Below are 19,763 nucleotides of genomic sequence, written 5' to 3'. Positions count from 1 at the left end.
TTAGAAATACCCAGATAGGGACAGAAGGAGATTCAATGTGGAATGAATAGTGGGAGTCAAAGCGTGGAGGTTTAAATACACAAATTGTTTAGAGAAGAACAAACAGTCCAGTTTCAAACAGAGGGTGAATAAAAAGGAGTAGACTGGGATGATAGGACGAGAGAGGACTGTGGGTGGGTGCTAAGTGCTGGGCTGGGGAAAGTAGTTGTGATATTCATTTTTGGAAAAGTTTTAAGGGAAGAGTGCCTGATAACCCATTAATTTTAAGCTGAACCTATACTAGGTAATTATCTCCTTCCTAAAGGTCCTTTTTATCTGCATTCATTCAGTACTTTGTGTTTACACTTGTGGTTTCAGAGCAGACCATGTCAAGGTTGTTATAGCCAATGCTTTTATTTTACAGATGAGTCATAAAGAACTTTAGGGACCATTCAAGTAGCCAGCAATGGAGTAAGAGTGAGAACTAGACTTCAGATCCTCTTGTTCCTAGCCCAGGCTTTTTTCATCCTTCCTACAAAAGTCATGGCGTGTGTGTGTGTGTGTGTGTGTGTGTGTGTGTGTGTGTGAGAGAGAGAGAGAGAGAGAGAGAGAGAGTCTTGCTGTGTTGCCCAGGCTGGAGTGCAGTGGTGTGATCTCAGCTCACTGCAACCTCCACTTTTTAGATTCAAGCAATTCTCATGCCTCAGCCTCCCAAGTAGCTGGGACTACAGGCACGCATCACACGGGCCTGGCTAATTTTTGTATTTTTAATAGAGATGGGGTTTCACCGTGTTGGCCAGGCTGGCCTCAAATTCTTGGCCTCATGTGATCTGCCTGCCTTGGCCTCCCAAATTGCTGGAATTACAGGCATGAGCCACTGTGCCCAGCCAGAAGTCATTGCTTTTAACCAAAAATTAAGCCATGAGGAAATAAGAAAAGAGATCTGCACTAGGAGCCAGAAATATGAAGTTCAGTTTTCGTTCATATCTTTCTGTGTGATCTTCGAGAAGACATGGACTCTCTCCTAGCTTCAGGTTCCAAACCTCTGAAGTAATATAATAAACTTCTTTATTATATTGGAGAGGTTGAACATGATCAAACAGAAACATGTTTGAAAAAGTCCTTATGGCTGGGCGCGATGGCTCACACTTGTAATCCGAGCACTTTGGGAGGCCAAGACAGGCAGATAGCTTGAGCCCAGGAGTTCAAGACTAGCCTGGGCAACATGGCAAAACCCCATCTGTAATAAAAATACAAAAATTAGCTGGCCATGGTAGTGTGCACTTGTAATCCCAGCTACTCAGGAGGCTGGGGTTGGAGGATCACTTGAGCTTGGGAGGTGGAGGTTGCAGTGTGCATTCCAACCTGGTGACAGAGCAAGACCCTGTCTCAAAAAAAAAAAAAAAAAAAAGGAAGGAAAGAAAAGAAAGAAAAAGAAAAAAAGTATTTCCACACTTATAAATAAGAAACTCTTATCAGAGAGACACTGAATTTCCAAATGTATAATAAATTAGCAACATATTTGCCAAGGCATTGGTGTTATGGTGGTTAGCATAGCTGCCTTCCAAAATTAGCAAAACACACCAACTCCTCACCTTCCCCTTTAATGTGTGGTGACTACTTGTTTCCCTTTGTGGACCTTTCTCAATATACTTCCATTAACAGGCTGTTATTCCTGGAAGAACACCTTTTGACTTGGAATGGATCTTTTGGAGATGGAAGTTATAGATGTGATTTATCAATATCATCTTGATGTTCATTTTACAGGATTACACTCGGATCTGGGCATAAGTCAGAAGAAGCGGGAGCAGGGTCAGAACAATTTGCCCTGGCCTAGTACCGCTTCAGCATTATCACAGGACATGCCCAGATACCTTTGGGTTCAAGAAATATAGATTTTAAAAAAACAAAAACAAAAAAAAAAAGGAGTACTTCTCGTCACTTTCATAGAATTGAAATTAACACTAGCAAAAGTTTTCCCACATAAACCAAGCCTAATACTCCATCAGTTCAATTAGAGAATCTTCACAGTAGGAGGGACTTAAGAAGTCACCCAAGCCAATCTTTAACTTAGAGCAGCGATGCCCTCCTCCAGCTTCCCTGGGACTGCTTCTCCTCCAGCCTCCCTGGGACTGCTTCTCCTCCAGCCTCTACTAGAATCCCACTCCCATCTTCCAACCCCCAGTGACTGGGAGCTCTCAACCTAGGAGGCAGCTCATATTCTAATGTTAGAAAACAGCTTAATGTTCCTAAACTCCTCCTTCCTTATAAATTCAGCCTACAGAGCCTAATTCTTCCTTCAAGAAGAAAAATAATCATGTTGTTTTCCTCTTCTACATGGCAGTCTTCCTTAAATCTGAAGCTAACTATATTATGTCCCTTGAAGTCTTCTCTATCATTGTTCAGGTCAGTCACTCAAATGATCTCTAATTCATCCTAAAATATGCCCCCAGAAATTGAGTGCAGCTCTCCAGACTGGGCTGACTTATGCAGAGAGCATGAAACTTAGGTCCTATGATAGGGATCACAGGCTTCTCATTCAAGCAGAGGTTACAAATCTGTGTGTTTGTAGCTGCATCTTGCTTGTTTATTGAATTTAGGACCAGCTGATTTTCAGGCACTATCCCACATGGACATGTGGACAGCCACCTCAGCAACTCTCCTGCTCAGGTGACTGGAATAATGCCAGTGTCAGCTGGATAGTTGTAAATCAATGCCTCACTGTCCCTCTAAATCGAGTATATCCCAAGCAAAGCATATCCTCCTTCACCAGTCTGTCATTTTTTTTTTTTTTTTTGAGGTGGAGTCCTGCTTTGTCACCCAGGCTGGAGTGCAGTGGCATGATCTTGGCTCACTGCAGCCTCCACCTCCCATGTTCAAGTGATTCTCCTGCCTCAGCCTCCCAAGTAGCCAGGATTACAGGTGCCCGCCACCATGCCTGGCTAATTTTTGTATTTTTAGTAGAGACGGGGTTTTGCCACGTTGGCCAGGCTGATCTCGAACTCCTGACCTCAGGTGATCTGCCTGCCTTGGCCTCCCAAAGTGCTGGGATTACAGGCGTGAGCCACCGCTCCCAGCCTGTCTCCTTATTTCTATCAATGATCCCACTGTTCTCTTGAGTGACATGAGCTCAAGTCTTAGGCCATCCTTGATTCTCCCCTGCTTCTCTTCAGTCTGGGCCCCATCTAGTTCCTCCTCTCAGTGCCTTTCACAGTCTTCTTTCCATTCTCATTGCCAGGGCTCCTGGCCAGGGCCCTGTGTCCTTGGCCTGACTATCCCAGCAGTCTCTTCATTGAGCTCTCTGCTCCAGCCACCTCACCTCCTATGCCCACACACACTGTTTCCTCCATATTCTACCATTCCTCATTTGCCATTGTATATATGCTTTCTTATTTTGCTATTTGCCTGATTCCTTTGTATTTTGTCTTTCAAGTTTCCAAGACTAGTGACCATACATCTCTTTTTAACTTCAGCAATTTATAAAGCAGTGCTTTAACAAATATTTCCTGTTGACAATAAATATGATATTAGAATATTTTTAGATAAAATGATCTTTAGAAAATAGTGCCAAAAGATATGTAAGTTAAAATAACAACAACAATAATATTGATATTTGGGCCACTTGACTTCTCTAATGGGCATCTCGGAATTACTTCCTCCACAACTGATCTGTCTGGATCTTCCCAAACCCCCCAGTCTACTTCTCAATAGTTTTCCCTCATGTTAGTAGGTGACACCTCCATTCTTCCAGTTGTTCCCCATCCAGAACATGTGGAATCATCCATACTCTATATTCATCAGCAAATCTTTTAGTTCTTCCTTTGATATATCCAACACTTCTCACTCACTGCCTTCATCACTACCATTCTGAATGAAGCAGTCCCACATGCTTTATTCCCATTGCTTTCCATCTTCCTTACCCTGCTCTTTTCTTTTTCATAGCACACATCTCATCTGATTTATTATATTTGTGTGTTTATTGTCTGACTTCCTCCATGAGAATGTAACCTCTGGAATGGCAGGGACTTTGTTTTGTTCCTTGCAAAGTCCCAGCTACTAGAACAGTGATTGGCGTGTGGCAGGGGCTCAATAAATATTTATGAATAAATTGATGAATGAATGCATGAACCCAGGTCTATCCGATTCCATAACTCATATTCTACCCTGCTACCCACTGACCAGGAACCCGCCCTATTTCTCCTTGAACACATTTTTCAGCTACTGTGTTCAACAACTAATTTATATTTAAATAAATCGGTTTTCTTTTCAGAATCAGCATTCGAGCTTTTACACAGCTCTTTGATGAGGACCTGAAGGAATTCACAAAGCCACTCTATTCAGACACATTTTTTTCTTTACCCATCACTACTGAATCAGGTAAGGCTAACCTTTACATCATGTTCTACCAACTGCCATGTCACCTACAAGAGCCTCTAATGGGGAGATATTGGCTGATGGTGGGGGGAACATTTATTTTCATTTGGAACTTAATCTTTATGTGACCAAAAATTGATGTGGATCAAAGGGATTGTACAACCTCTCTAGAAGAATGGATTGAAAGGGGGTTAATCTAAAAAGAAGGTGGAAGTACAGTATTTTTTTCTATTAAAAATGAATTATTTTCTAAATAGTGAGTGAAAACCATTAAAATCAAGAGTTTTCACAGGCCAAAATATAAGTTACTACAAAACACTTTCAGTTAAAAGTGAGAATGTATATATGCATATACACAGAAATGCTCAGGAAAAAAAGACTAAAAGAAAAAAACACCAAAGTATTAATGATGTGTATCTCAAAGTAATGGAAATACAGGTGATTTTTCTTCCTTTTGCTTATTATGTGTTGACTTTGTAGTACTAAAAACCATTAATATAAAAGACTGTGCATAACAATTTCTGAAAGAGACTTCTCTAGTGTGTTAGAGGGAAAGCCTGAGTAATAATAGTGGCTAGTATTTACTGTTCACCTTCTCTATGGAGACATAGTTTTAAGCATTTTACATGGGATAACTTGTCCAATTCTCATGACAGTCTTTTGAGCTAGATGCTATTATCATCCCCATCTTAAAGATGAGGACATGAGGCACCAAGAGATTAAGTAATTTGCCCAAGATGGTGCAGCTGAAATTCTGGCACTTTCTGCCCAAGCGTACAACCTCTGCACTGCCCTGTCTCTGAATACTTCCACCAGGCTGAGAATAGCATCATTTCATCACCTTCCCTCCCAACACCATCGTCTGCGTAGCCTTTTCCTGTAATCCGTGTTCTGCAATGCTTGATCTCTAGGTCTGGGAAGTTCTTTACAGCTAAAACTGTCTCTCGTGCTGCATGACAAACGATGACTCAGCCTCACAAACATTCCAATCTATTTATGCCAAATATAGGGATAATCTCCCAATTTCAAGCTAAAGGGGGATGAGAACACAGTTAAGAGGATTTAGATGTCTTTACTTATAATTTAATGTAGGGACTTTGTAAACACAATTCTTTCCTTTTTGAAATACTGTTACATGACAAAAATTGCATGTAGTCCAGTACAGGAAGACAGTAAACGTATATTCAAAAAAGGATATTAACTACATTCAAGGAAAGATGATTGTGTTGATTTGATGAGTCTTGAAAAGCAACATGGAACAAACAAATCTAAGATCTTAAAATGCAACTTCAAAAATGGGCCACTTCATAGACCTAAATTTAAGGGATAACACAGTAACACTTTTACAAGAAAACATAGGTGTAAATCTTTGTAACCTTGGATTAGAAAATAGCTTTTTAGATAGGACACCAAAAGCATAAGCTACAAAAGAAAAAATGGATACTCTGGATTTAATCAAAATTAAAAACTTGTGCTTCAAAGGACACTATCAGCAAAGTAAAAAGACAACCTACAGAATAGGAAGAAAATATTTATTTTCCAAATCACATATCTGATAAGGGCTGAATAGCATATAAAGAACTCTTACCTCACAATTTAATAATAAAAACACAAATTACACTATATATATAGTGTAATATATATATTTTTTTCCTTTTTTTTTTTCCTTTTTTTTGAGAAAGTCTCGCTCTGTCGCCCAGGCTGGAGTGCAGTGGTGCGATCTCGGCTCGCTGCAAGCTCCGCCTCCCAGGTTCACGCCATTCTCCTGCCTCAGCCTCCTAAGTAGCAGGGACTACAGGCGCCCGCCACCACGCCTGGCTAATTTTTTTATATTTTTAGTAGAGACAGGGTTTCACGTGTTGGCCAGGATGTTCTCGATCTCCTGACCTTGTGATCCACCTGTCTCGGCCTCCCAAAGTGCTGGGATTACAGGCGTAAGCCACCACGCCAGGCCATATATATATATATATTTTTTTTTTTTCAAGACGGAGTCTTGCTCTGTCACCCAGGCTGTAGTGCGGTGATGCCACCTTGGCTCAATGCAACCTCCACCTCCCAAATTCAAGCAATTCTCCTGCCTCAGCCTCCCCAGTAGCTGGGACTACAGGCATGCGCCACCACACCCGGCTAATTTTTGTATTTTTAGTAGAGACAAGGTTTCACCATGTTGGCCAGGCTGGTCTCGAACTCCTGGCTTCGTGATCTGCCTGCCTCAGCCTCCCAAAATGCTGGGATTACAGGTATGAGCCACCGTGCCCAGCCAAATTACACAATATTTAAATGGGCAAAGGCTCTGAATAGACATGTCTCCAAAGAAGATATACAGTTGACTAATAAGCACATGAAAAGATGCTCAACATCATGAATCATTAGGGAAATGCAAATCAAAATCACAAGAAGATACCACTTCACACCCAGTAGCATGGCTATAATCAAAAAGACAGTAACAAGAGTTAGTGAGGATATGAAGAAATCAGAACCTTCCATACACTGCTTATGAGAATGTAAAATGGTGTCACTGCTTTGAAAAACAGTTTATAGAAATATTAAACCTAGAGTTACCATACGACCCAGCAATTTCACTCCTCAGTATATACCCAGGAGAAATGAAAACATATGTCCACATAGAAACTTGTACATGAATGTTCATAGCAGCATTATTCATAATCGCCAAAAAGTAGAAGCAATTTAAATGTCCATCAATGGATAAACAAAATGTGATATATCCATACAATGGACGATTATTCAACCATAAAAAGGAATGAAATCTTGGTATATGCTATAACATGGATGAACCTTGAAAACATTATGCTAAATGAAAGGAGCCAGTCCCAAAAGATCACAGATTTATGATTTCATTTCTATGAAACATCCAGAATAGGCAAATCCACAGACACAGAAAGTAGATTAGTGGTTGCCAGGGATCGCGGGGAGGGAGGAGTGGGACTGACTGCTAATAGGTACGCGGTTTCTTTTGAGGGTGATGAAAATGTTTTAAAATTGATTGTGGTGACATTTGCAAAACTTTGACTATACTAAAGACCACTGAATTGTACAACTTAGATGGGTGAGTTGCATGCTATATGAATGATATTTCAATAAAGCTATTTTAAAAATGAGGCCACTCTTACCTCTTCATAAACTCCCAGTAGCGTTACCATACCAGATAATAAAAATAAGACTTCTTAGAATAGCTCCAAGCAATCCACTGGATTTTCCAAAGCCCCAGATGCTGTGTAACATGTTTTATATAAATGAAATGGCATTTTTATCTTGGTGGCAAACTTATGGCCTTTATCTCAGGTGCCCCAAGCTTTATATACAAGTGCAAAGTCCAAAATTCCTCTATAAGCTATGCAACATTAACTTCAAAAGTATGCAGTGACACCTGGCCTCACTGCTACAGGGTGGGAGCCAGCCTTTCATCATCTTCTTAGGTGCATACTCAGAGCCTTTGGAAAGTAAATGCCTCATCGTGGGCATCACTTGAATTCTATTTGTAATAACATTACTTGGGAGATATGGCTTCAATAGCTTTCTTACTGGTTCCCTAGCACTAATTTTCCCACCTGCGTTTGTTGTTTCTATCTGGATTATTGTAGAGCCCTTGTTTGGAGCTATTGAAGGTGTGAGTGCTGGTCTGTTTTTAATTGGCATGCTAGTGGCTGTTGTTGCCTTATTGATCTGCAGACAGAAAGTGAGGTAAGTACAAAGATCCTTTTGGTGATTGGACCCACAACTTTAAAAATGCAACTGAAAATTCCCTTTAGGCTGAAAACTAAGAAGGGAAAATAATTTAATTTTTCCAGGTTAAATTGTCACTGTTTTCTCAATAAAAACAAGTCAAACTCTAAAGCCATGACTCACTTTTCTCAGCTCTTTTATATCCCATTGATGAATTCAGCCCTTACCAAAGGACTGAGGGGCCATCTATAGCTTTATTTAAAGATGAAGTGACTCCTTTTGCACAGGAAAAAAATATTTTGTGTGTGTGTGTGGTTCATATCCTCATGAAGACAGAGATGTTTGCAAATTGCATGCCCAAGTGCTTTTCTGAAATATCCTGAAAAGTGTGGTTGACATCACCATTTTGTAGTTCATATCTGCCATCCTAATTTAAGAAGGGACCAAAAAGAACCAAATAGCATGTGGCCCCAAGTGTCGTGCCTTCTTCTCTTAGTGAATTTTTTTTCTTAATTTGGCACATGTTCCTCTTTATTGAAGTCGTGTCTGGCATCTGAAATTTACTGGATTTTTTTAAAGCAAAGTTTTATTGAGAATGTGGGAAGTGATTATAACCTGTAGCCAAAAACCAGGAGACAAATCTTCAGTTTTTGCAGAGATCCGTTTCTGGGTGGGAATGATCTACTTTATTCTCTTTCCTTTCCCTCCCTCAGAGATGTTGGCTGAGTGCAAATCTGTATGAATACTGAAAAATCCATATTTGCACAAACATCCACAGCCTTACCATAAATGGAAAAATTTGTTCAAGCCAAGTATCATAATCAGAATAAAAGTTATCTCCCTTATGTTTCAGCCATGGTCGAGAAAGACCCTCTGCCCGTCTGAGCATTCGTAGGGATCGACCATTATCTGTCCACTTAAACCTGGGCCAGAAAGGGTAAGCACCACATTTGCCTTCGTATAATTTGTTGAAAGATGGTATTATGTGAAATTTGCTAACAAAGTCTTCCTCTTTTGGCTTCTCTTCACAGTAACCGGAAAACTTCTTGGTAAGAGAGAGAACACATTAATTACTATATTATCTGCCTTTGAAATATGAGTCAGAATAGTTATGGCACTTTCCCTTTTCTGCAGTAACTCTTTTCTGTTTGTTTCATTTTTAATTACAGTCCAATAAAAATAAATCAGTTTGAAGGGCATTTCATGAAGCTACAGGCTGACTCCAACTACCTTCTATCCAAGGAATACGAGGTACAACTCAGGCAGAATGAAGCTTCAGCATCCCTAGTTCTTAGCAGAATTTCCTTCCTAATGTTTACTGTGTCATCATAGGCTGATTGAGCTCAGAAGTTAGGAGGCTGCTTAGAATCTCAGCTGAGCACTCTTTTATGCCTAAACTATGCCCTGAATAGAATATACCATCTAATCTTAGAGGCCAGCTTGAGCTCCAGAATAACACAGCAAACCAAGGGCTACCTGGATCAGATAGTAAGGAAGAATTAACAAATCTCAAATGCAGACCTAAAGCTGTCAGATATTCAGCCTGGCCATTTGCTTGGCTGGAAGATGCCGTGGTTTCGCAAAAAGCACGTAGCTTTTGGAACTGATTCTCAGGTTTGCCACTTGGGTGACCTGGGGCACATCAGTTATCCTGACTGAGCCTCACCTGTAAAATAGTGAGACCACCACCTCCCTTGTGGGGCTGTTGTGGGGATCAGGGCTAATGCATGTTGAGTACTAGGCATTCATAAACAATAGCTAGTGTATATATTTTCATGTTATTATGTTATCTCCAGGACTGTATGATTTGCTTTATTCTATTTCATATTCTCCACTTACAAACTCATATTTGACCTAACAGGAGTTAAAAGACGTGGGCCGAAACCAGTCATGTGACATTGCACTCTTGCCGGAGAATAGAGGGAAAAATCGATACAACAATATATTGCCCTGTAAGTTTTGTGTCAAAATTTGTAATACTGTCTTCCTCTAGCCATTTCTGCATTTTTCTCCAAAAATGAAATGAGGCTAAAGAAATATAATATAGCTCGATATGGACAATCTCAAGCTCTGAATGCCTTTAATAAGAAATAGCTTGTATATTCCTGCACTTCCCTCCAGAGGGATAATAGCCAGTTTAAATTCTGATTATGAAAGTCCTCTTATGCTGTTGACATTTCCCCATGTGATGCTATTGCTTCTCTTTGGAGGCTAAGCAGTAAATGGGGTTAACAGCAAGGGCTCTGACATCAAGCAGACCTGGGTTTGCTTAGCAAAGTCTTCGGTTAGCAATTTCTACTTAAATTTCCTTACCCCATTAGGTAAAGCAATAGAAGGTAGGTTTTCTGGATTGTATTCATTCCAGCAGTGAAAGGGAGCTGGCCACTCCATCAGGCAAATGTGGTAATGTCAGAAAGGGAAGCACAGATGGGGCTTCATGTTGTCTCCTGTGTCTGACTGGTTATAGGCCACCTATGCAACATGGGGCAAGTTAGTTATCCTGCCTGAGCCTCATCTGCAAAATGGAGATAAGATCACTTCCCATCTGTGGCTGTTGTGGGGATCAGAGCTAAGGCACATCACACACATCACATAAACTGTAGAAAAGTCACTCCAAGACTCAGCAGCAAATCTCTCCTTCCAGATGATGCCACGCGAGTGAAGCTCTCCAATGTAGATGATGATCCTTGCTCTGACTACATCAATGCCAGCTACATCCCTGTAAGTGACCCACTAGGCCATAGTGTTCAGGATGAGGCTTTGGTGGGTGGCTACACTGGAGATGCCACTCCTCCATGTTCCTGTTATTCTTAGGTCTGGAAACACCTGTAGATTTCAGAAGAGCACATCTGAATGCCATAAAAAAAATGGGGTATCCAATTCAGTTCCTGCTACGCCACATTTTTCACAATGGCTATAGTCAAATGAAATTATGAGCCCAAGATGCATTTTCATAGATCATCTACTCTCTGCAGTCCTTAACCAAGATGAGAGCTTCCTAAGGAAGATGGACCTCCCCTGCTAAAGCTGCCTAGCTAGAGAAGCTGATCCCATGTTATTTGGAATCTTCACAACCACAGACACAACTCAAAGGTTATATCAAATCTTTGGGCTCTGGTTTTGGTTAGCATCTTGCCACCTTCCTATGGCATACTGCAGTGGAAAAAGCTTTCGGGTCAAACAAATCTAGGTTTGAATCCCACTTCTGCCCCTTGTTGATTCTGTGACCTTGGGCACATTATGTCACCTTTTTGGGCCTCCATTTTCTTTTCCAAAAACTGATGATAATAATATTTACCTCATACCTCAAGCAACCATCCATTCACTCAATAAACACTTAGAAATTAAGTGCTAACTGAGCTGTTTACAGGCATGGGATAAGATGGAATCCTGACCCTAAAGGAACTCTCAGAAGAGTTGAGGCAAGAAAAGGCAATGGCATGGGAAACCTGCCACAGCAGTGCCTCTCCTACATTGAAAGATGTCTGCGCCATCTGAGGATCTTGTGAAAAGGCAGATTCTGATCCATCAGGGCTGAGGCAGGGCCTGGGAATCTGTATTTCTTTCTTTTTTTTTTTTTTTTTTTTTTTTGAGATGGTCTTGCTCTGTCTGCCAGGCTGTAGTGCAGTGGCGCGATCTCTGCTCACTGCAAGCTCCGCCTCCCGGGTTCACGCCATTCTCCTGCCTCAGCCGCCCGAGTAGCTGAGACTACAGGCACCTGCCACCACGCCTGGCTAATATTTTTTTGTATTTTTAGTAGAGACGGGGTTTCACCGTGTTAGCCAGGAAGATCTCCATCTCCTGACCTCATGATCCGCCCGCCTTGGCCTCCCAAAGTGCTGGGATTACAGGGGTGAGCCACTGCGCCCGGCCGAGTCTGCATTTCTGACAAGCCTCTTGGTGATTTCAGTGCTGCTGGTCTGAGAACGGCACTCAGTAGCGAGAGGCTAGAGATTGCCATGGGGCATCTTGGAGAATATCCCCCAGCAGAGAGAAAGATAAAAGAAGGCTCAGCCAAGCAGGCACCATGCTGAGGATAAGTAAGGATTGGTCAGATGAGAAGCAGTGTTTGGGTGGGCGGGGGTGGCGATGGCAGAGGTGACATAATGTGGAGACCCTGAGGAAAGGCAAAGAGAAAGAGCTTCGATTAGAATTGACAAGGAATTGCTGTCATTGCCGGAGTGCAGAAGGAGTAGATGAAAATATCCCGCTCTTGGACTGTGGTTTGGATTAAATAAGTCCTGACCTGCGACACATTAGATGGTAGACGCTCAGTCAACAGTTTCTCTTCCGTGATGCTTCCTGTGGATGATATATCTTACCAAATTATTCTGACATTGATTATCCAAAATGACTAACACTCTTCTACATTAAATAGGGAAAGAGCCTGATTACAGTCCCTCCAACAGTCTACACAAATACCCCCCAACACACACATATAATTGAGGGTGAAGTGTTTTCTAGATCATTGCCTAAGTCCCCCATTTGCTTTCAGAATAGACCCAGGCAAGTAAAAGGGAATGTGGCTCTTAACACTAGTTCAATGTTCTGACCTTTGTCCTTCCTGCTCCCAAGCATTGACACTTGTGTTAGTATCTTTTTCTGAAGTCAGAGACTTGGCAGAGACCTCCCTATCATCTAATCTGAAGAACTCTTTGTTTATAGTTCTGAAGAGGCCCATTGTTTCTGACTCTCCATATTGTAAATTCATTGCAGGGCAACAACTTCAGAAGAGAATACATTGTCACTCAGGGACCGCTTCCTGGCACCAAGGATGACTTCTGGAAAATGGTGTGGGAACAAAACGTTCACAACATCGTCATGGTGACCCAGTGTGTTGAGAAGGGCCGAGTGAGTAAACAGCCTTCCTGGCATCAAAGCTTTGCTTTCTGCCACCTGGATAGAATTCTGCCCCATCATCAAAGTGAAACCCCGCAAAACAACGTAGGGATCATGTGAGAGCATTGTTAGTGACTTATACCACTCTGTTCAAAAGACTCTAATAGTAAACCCAAGTGATGCCTGATTCTGATTCTGGGTCTGAAGTTCCAGTCAAAGCTGTTTCCATTTGAGGACTGGGATTAGTGGCAGTGCCCATTACACCAAAAATTACCTGGCCACTTGGCTACTCCATTCTTCAGTGTCTGGCTGGAGGAGAGACCCTGCCAGAGTCACTGGACCTGCCCCTCATCCCAGGAAAGGAGAAGTGAGTTGTAGACTGTGTTGGCAGACACAAAGTAAAATAATAATCCAGACAAATCAACCAAACCCCCTTGTAATGCACTTACCATCCTCTACTTTATATGGTTATTTTGAGGATTAAAAGATTGAGGATTAAAAGAGAGATTACGTATAAAGTGCCTAGTATCTGCGCTCAGTAAACATATGCTTACATTCCTCTTCCCCTTGTCTGTATACATGTAAAGGCGAGCTTAGCTAAACGTTCTAACTTCTCAAAGATCTCTTGGCACACGGCCCACGTTAGGACAGTGACATAAAAATATGAACGAAGAAGGGCCAGGAAGACAGTGCCTTCCTCTACCCAACTAGATATTTCTTTCTTTAGAAAGAACAATACGTTGTGAACCACAGTTTACCTGCTAGTGGAACTGAAATGCTGAGGGGAAAAAAAAAAAAAAAAAAAAAAAAAACTCAAGCCATATATTACTGGGCCTAAAAAATGAGTGAACCCAAAGGTTGGAGTCAGGGGTGCTCCTTGTACAGGCTCTCCCCTTCACTTGGAGCAGCACCTCAGCTTCAGCACTGGCCATGAGAAGGTTAATATAAAGTAGATGGTCAAATTGCTTTAGCAGCTGATCCCAGATTCCTAACTTTGGAAGACATTTAGAGGAGGGAAACCCCAGGTTCACCAAGGAGTCACTTTTCCGGACTCATGTTTTTTCTGTCTGTCCTGTTCTAGGTAAAGTGTGATCATTACTGGCCAGCGGACCAGGATTCCCTCTACTATGGGGACCTCATCCTGCAGATGCTCTCAGAGTCCGTCCTGCCTGAGTGGACCATCCGGGAGTTTAAGATATGCGGTGTATGTTAGCTTGCTTGACTTAACAACCGAGCTTGGGGAGATGAATGAGATCTGTGAACCCCACTTTCGCTGGTTCCTCTCTTGTAGTTTCAGCCCATAGGAGTTGCTCCATGGCTCAGCTGTCAAGTTTGAAGGTTTGCATTGGACAGTTCCTCTTTTATCCTGCTCTCTGCTCTTACAGGAGGAACAGCTTGATGCACACAGACTCATCCGCCACTTTCACTATACGGTGTGGCCAGACCATGGAGTCCCAGAAACCACCCAGTCTCTGATCCAGTTTGTGAGAACTGTCAGGGACTACATCAACAGAAGCCCGGGTGCTGGGCCCACTGTGGTGCACTGCAGGTACTAGGAAACCTAGCAGCCAATAAAATGGCAGCCATAAGGGGGTTGTGCCTGGGAGTCTGGAAAAATACATAAGCATGGGGAATTTGGTGGGTGGAGGATTTGTCTGGACCAACCAGCCTGCCTCGCCCCCAGAGGGTTTTATAACGTTCCTCCCCTTCTGCCAACATCATTTCTCTTCCCTGACTTCTTTTCCACTTTCTTCCCCTGTAGCCTCTCTCTCATCCTCACTCTCCAGCCTTCTCTCTCCCTCTTGCTTTTTTCCTACTTTCTGAAATGCAAAGTCCTGATGGGAATTCCATGCTTTCCATCATCAGGCATATCACCTTCAATCTAAGTTCCCAATAACTCCCTTCACATTCTAGCCAGGAAAGTGAGCACACAAGCTTATTCTTGCCTCTGGCCATTCTTCCATTTTGGAATGGCTTTATCTCTCTTCTCCACCTAAGTCCTACCTATCCTTCAAGATTTATTTTCTAATCTTCCCTCCAGGTCTAGTAGCATGTCTTTGTCTATTTGTGCTGCTAAAACAAAATACCACAGACTGGATAATAAATAATAGAAATTTATCTGTCATAGTCTAGAGGCTGGAAGTCCAAAATCAAGGCACTGGCAGCTTCAGTGTCTGTTGAGAGCTTAGTCTCTGCTTCCAAGATGGTGCCTTGTTACTGTGTCCTCCAGAGCAGACAAAGGCTGTGTCCTCACATAGAGGGAGGGATGGAAGGGCAAAAGAACCTAGCTAGTTCCCTCCAACTGTTTCACAAGGCACCAGTCCCGTTCATGAGGGCAGAGCCCTCATGACCTAATCACCTCCTCCACCTCTTAATACTGTTGCATTGAAGATTAAGTTTCAACATGAATTTTTGGAGGGGACACAAACATTCAAACCACAGCACAGCAATTGCCACCTGTAGCACCTAATTTTTTCTCTTAAATTTGTTCTCTTGATTTCTCTTTGCTTCAGTCTGTCCAGAAAATCAACCTAACAAGTGAAATCTCTCTCTCTCTGGCGAGCCTGGTATCTAGCAAATTAATGTTTGCAGCAACATTTTGATAGCCCTAACTGAATGGCACTAATAAATATGGAGCAGGGAACTGCAGCAGTAAGAGAAATGCCAAGTGTACTCATCTCCTCCCTGTCAGCCCAGCACCCTAGGAGCCCTGCTTTCCTATGTCCTTGGAACCTTGACACTTTTAATAGGAAGGTGAGGCACTCACCTCAGAGCTTTCTGCTTTTTGAAAAATGGCAGGCATTTTTGTCCAGGACCACTGGAGAACTGTTATCTTATAAATGTGTGTATCAAAAATCCCCAGATGACACAACCATTTTGGGGAGGAATTTGGCAATCCCTAGTGCAGCTGAAGGTGTTCATGCCCATGACCAACCCAAGAGTTCTGCTTCTAGGTGTTGACCCCTGAGAAATCTCCACATATATTCATGTTCTTTGCAACACATGTTTTAATAGAGAAAAATTTAAAATGATCTCACTGCCACTGGATTAGCAGTGGTTTATGAAGAGAATTAATTAAAAGAAATTAGATCAGCTGGGTGTGGTATATCCTGCCTCTAATCCCAGCACTTTGGAGGCCAAAGTGGAAGGATCACTTGAGGCCAGGAGTTCAAGACCAAGCTGGGCAACTATTAGGGAGACCTTATCTCTACAAGTCTTTTTTTTTAATTAGCTGGGAGTAGTTACACATGCCTGTGGTCCCAGCTACTCAGGAGGCTGAGGTGAGAGGACTGCTTGAACCTGGGAGGTCGAGGCTGCAGTGAGCTATGCTTGTGCCACTGCACTCCAGCCTGGGCAACAGAGCAAGACCCTGTGAAGGACGGAAAGAGGGAGGGAGGAAGGAAGGAGAGAGAAAGAAAGAAGGAAGGAAAGAAGAAACGAGAAGATCTATATGTAGCAATATAGATAAATCTGAAAACATAATATTGAGTAGGAAAGTTGACAAAAAGATACCTAAAGCACATATGTTACCATTTCAGTAGATTTTTCAAACATAAATGTTTATAGATTTACCTGTATGTAGGAAAAGTATTAAAAACATGCGTGGAAATGATACACAGTAAGTGCAGAGCAGTACTTATCCCTGGTAGAGTGGAGGAGGGACAGGAAGGGAGTGGAAAGAGATAGAAGGCTGTGGGGGGGTGGGGTTGGGGGACTCTAGGTTAAACTTATTTGAGAGAAAGAAATATTCCTATCTTCTCCCATAACTGGGAAGGGAAAAAAAAGATTGTGCCAGAGTCTCTAGATGCAATCTTGAAAGGCAAATTTAATAAAAAGGCTCAATCTTCCTTTGCCATCTCTTCTAGTGCTGGTGTGGGTAGGACTGGAACCTTTATTGCATTGGACCGAATCCTCCAGCAGTTAGACTCCAAAGACTCTGTGGACATTTATGGAGCAGTGCACGACCTAAGACTTCACAGGGTTCACATGGTCCAGACTGAGGTAAGAGTTATAGACTGAAAGTTACAGGCCACCCTCCTCCCCACTGTATTCCCACAAAAAAATATCCAGGACCTTAATCTGACAAGGGGAAATAACTATGACACATTAGGAAGAGAAAAAAAGAACTGCATGTAGATATTTTCTAAGACTTGTTATTTTAAAACAAATCTCACTGGTCTTGAAGGTGACCATCTTGGGGATCATTTTAAGATAGGCTGGCAGATGAGCATAAGAACTTCACTTAGGAAAGAAGAAGATCCCAATCTCTTCTCTCCCCCAGCCCCACTCCCTCCACCTACACCCCCATTTCAGGAGACCCCAAGGGAGTGTATGTAGATGGTAAAGACCACGTGCTTCCATTTGTGCAGCACTTTGACATTTGCAGGGCATTTTTGAACATGTTATCTCATTAAATTTTCACAATAACCAAGCGAGACATATTATATTCTACTTCCAGACTAGAAAATGAAGGTCCAAAAGCTTAAGGGCTTTGCACAAAGCCCACAGCCATGAAGTGGCTGAGGTGGCTTGGCCACTATTCTAGAGAAACCTGGGCCCTTGATTGTGCTATAAGCGTACTAGCCTCAGGGTCAGATCTCTTCCTCAATAGAGACCAAGCATTCACTCCTCTGCATCAATGCCTTCTAAGGCTCAAATTCTCTTACCCTCGTGTTTCACAAGTTTTTCTCCAAGTAACTAAGCAAAATCCTCTGTATTAAAAAAAAAAATCCATGGTTGGAAAAGTAAAAAGTTCTACATGCTTCTGTGTCCCCTCTTAGAGCCACAGTACCCAAGGACAATGCACAGACAGCAATGCTCCATAAAAAGAGAGCTTCCTGCAGCCAAGGCCCCCTTTGAGCTTTATTGAACCCACTAATCCCAAAACCACCTTGACCCCTGAATTCTTTTCTTGTGCAGCACATATTAATATCCTGCATTCAAGCCAGTAACAATTGAACCAGAGAAATGAAAATAAAAATTAAAAATATTCTGCAGAACTCACATTTGACAAAACAATGGCATCATTGCCTCCTGCAGGCAGGAACCTCTGCCACCACTATTGTCCTGGGCTGGGAGTACTTTCATTATAACAATGATTCTACCATATTTTGAATGTTTTATTATGAAATTGTTTTGAAAAAATATACAAAACATGGCTGGGTACAGTGGCTCATGCCTGTAATCCTGGTGCTTTGGGAGGCCTGGAGAGGGGCAGATCACTTGAGGCCAGGAGTTTGACACCAGCCTAGGCCACATAGCAAGAGCCCATCTCCACAAAAAATTTTTAAAAAGAAAATACACAAAACTAGGAAAAATAGTATAGTGAGTTTCCATGTACCCAAACCCCTGCTTCTACAATTATCAGTATTCTGTGTTCTTTTCCCATCTGTATCCCACATTTAATGTTCCCCTACCCCATGACCTTATCCCACTGAAATATTTTAAAGCAAATCCCACTTATCATATTATCTCATCCTTAAATACACATATACTTATATACACATATGTATGTGTACACGTGTGTATGTATATATGTATGTGTGTAATACATGTCATATTGCATATATGTGTACATGTGTATATGTGCATGTGTATATGTATACACCTATATGTGTACATTTGTATGCATATGTGATATTACATATATTGCATATATACATATGTACGGGTATATAAGTGTGTACATGTGAACATGTATACATATATATGTATATTTGAGATACTCTTTAAAACTATGACCACAATGTCATTATCACATCTATGTCTTTCTTAACCGTTATTCCTAAATCTCACCTAATATCCAGTCAGTATTTAAATATCCCTAATTATCTCAAAAAATTACTTTTTATAAAAAACTATATTTGGTTTTCATTAGAATCCAGAGTTTACATATTTCATTTGGTTGAAGTGTCTCTGAAATCTTTCTATAATCTATAATCCTCCCTCCCATTTGTTTTCCATGATATTTATTTGTTAAAGAAGCCAGCTGATTTCTTCGGCAGATTTTCCCACATTCTAGATGTGGCTGATTGCTTTTTCATGGTGGTAATATATTCCTCTACTCCCCATGGATTTTTCCTCTACTCCCCATGGATTTTGTCAGCTGGTGGTTAGATCTAGAGGCCTGATTAAACTCAATGCTTCATGGGTGGTGCTGAGGGCTTTCTGTTGCATGACATCAGAAGGCAGATCACCATGTCTGTCTCTCTTTCAGCGCTGAGGAAACTGACAGTGAGTTCAGGCAGTGTCAGCCTGAACCCTTCATTATCCCCATCAACCCTTCACTTAATGGTTTTAGCAGCCACTGATGACCTCTGCCTAGCGCTGTTATTTCATCAAAGGTTGCAGAATTATATAACCCTGTATCATAATTATTAATTATTATCCTTCTTATTAATTATTATCCTTCAGCTTTCTCCACAAGACTATGCATTCCTAGAGGGTGGGAGCCTGTTTTCCTCCTCTTCTATATCCTCAATATTTTTTAATCTTTTAAATGAATGAACAAATATCCTACAATTATGTTGCTAAAAAGTCAGCATTAATATTTTGTTAGTTTATTGTCACTTTCACAAACTCAAACCCTAATTAATTTGTAACTTGGGAAAGAGGAGGTTATCGTATTGTAAATAGTCTCAAACTGTGTGTATTTGTGTGCTCTAGTAATTGTCAAAGGATTCTTGGGCCATGTATCACCTCCATACACCTGCCCCAAACTCATAATGCATTTTGGCAACTAGGAGGGACTCTACTGTCAATATCACTGGCTGACTTTCAGAGCAGAGGTAACACAATGTTCCTCTTCCTCCTTCTCCTTAGAAATAACTCCATCTTTTCCCTGTTCTGTTCTCCTTTTCCTCCTGCCTCACTGAGGACACTGTGGC

The 19,763-nt window shown here is 41.6% G+C and overlaps 1 protein-coding gene and 1 long non-coding RNA gene across 11 annotated transcripts in view; one reads left to right on the top strand and one right to left on the bottom strand.

Annotated features, from left to right (window-relative positions):
* The window catches only part of PTPRB-AS1 (PTPRB antisense RNA 1), a 103,372-nt gene that overhangs the window by 22,538 nt on the left and 61,071 nt on the right, over positions 1 to 19,763 (bottom strand). The window contains exon 6 of one of the 2 annotated variants that reach the window (XR_007063360.1): positions 5,872 to 10,863. The exons of the other annotated variant lie outside the window; for it this stretch is intronic. This is a non-coding gene — a long non-coding RNA (PTPRB antisense RNA 1). Of the gene's footprint in view, positions 1 to 5,871; positions 10,864 to 19,763 lie in introns of those variants that run through there. 2 annotated transcript variants of the gene reach the window in all.
* The window catches only part of PTPRB (protein tyrosine phosphatase receptor type B), a 121,560-nt gene that overhangs the window by 88,517 nt on the left and 13,280 nt on the right, over positions 1 to 19,763 (top strand). For all 9 annotated transcript variants that reach the window (NM_001330204.2, NM_001109754.4, NM_001206971.3 and 6 more), the window contains 11 exons: positions 4,250 to 4,356; positions 7,956 to 8,055; positions 8,891 to 8,974; positions 9,069 to 9,086; positions 9,207 to 9,288; positions 9,899 to 9,989; positions 10,682 to 10,758; positions 12,754 to 12,888; positions 13,958 to 14,080; positions 14,262 to 14,425; positions 16,743 to 16,878. In NM_001330204.2, coding sequence (NP_001317133.1) covers positions 4,250 to 4,356; positions 7,956 to 8,055; positions 8,891 to 8,974; positions 9,069 to 9,086; positions 9,207 to 9,288; positions 9,899 to 9,989; positions 10,682 to 10,758; positions 12,754 to 12,888; positions 13,958 to 14,080; positions 14,262 to 14,425; positions 16,743 to 16,878 — 1,117 coding nt within the window. The remainder of the gene's footprint in view (positions 1 to 4,249; positions 4,357 to 7,955; positions 8,056 to 8,890; positions 8,975 to 9,068; positions 9,087 to 9,206; positions 9,289 to 9,898; positions 9,990 to 10,681; positions 10,759 to 12,753; positions 12,889 to 13,957; positions 14,081 to 14,261; positions 14,426 to 16,742; positions 16,879 to 19,763) is intronic.

The sequence above is a fragment of the Homo sapiens genome, chromosome 12, assembly GCF_000001405.40.
Source record: "Homo sapiens chromosome 12, GRCh38.p14 Primary Assembly".
NCBI classification, from domain to species: Eukaryota; Metazoa; Chordata; class Mammalia; order Primates; family Hominidae; genus Homo; species Homo sapiens.
Note: the sequence above shows the minus strand (reverse complement) of the source record. Positions and strands in the feature narration are given on the sequence as shown.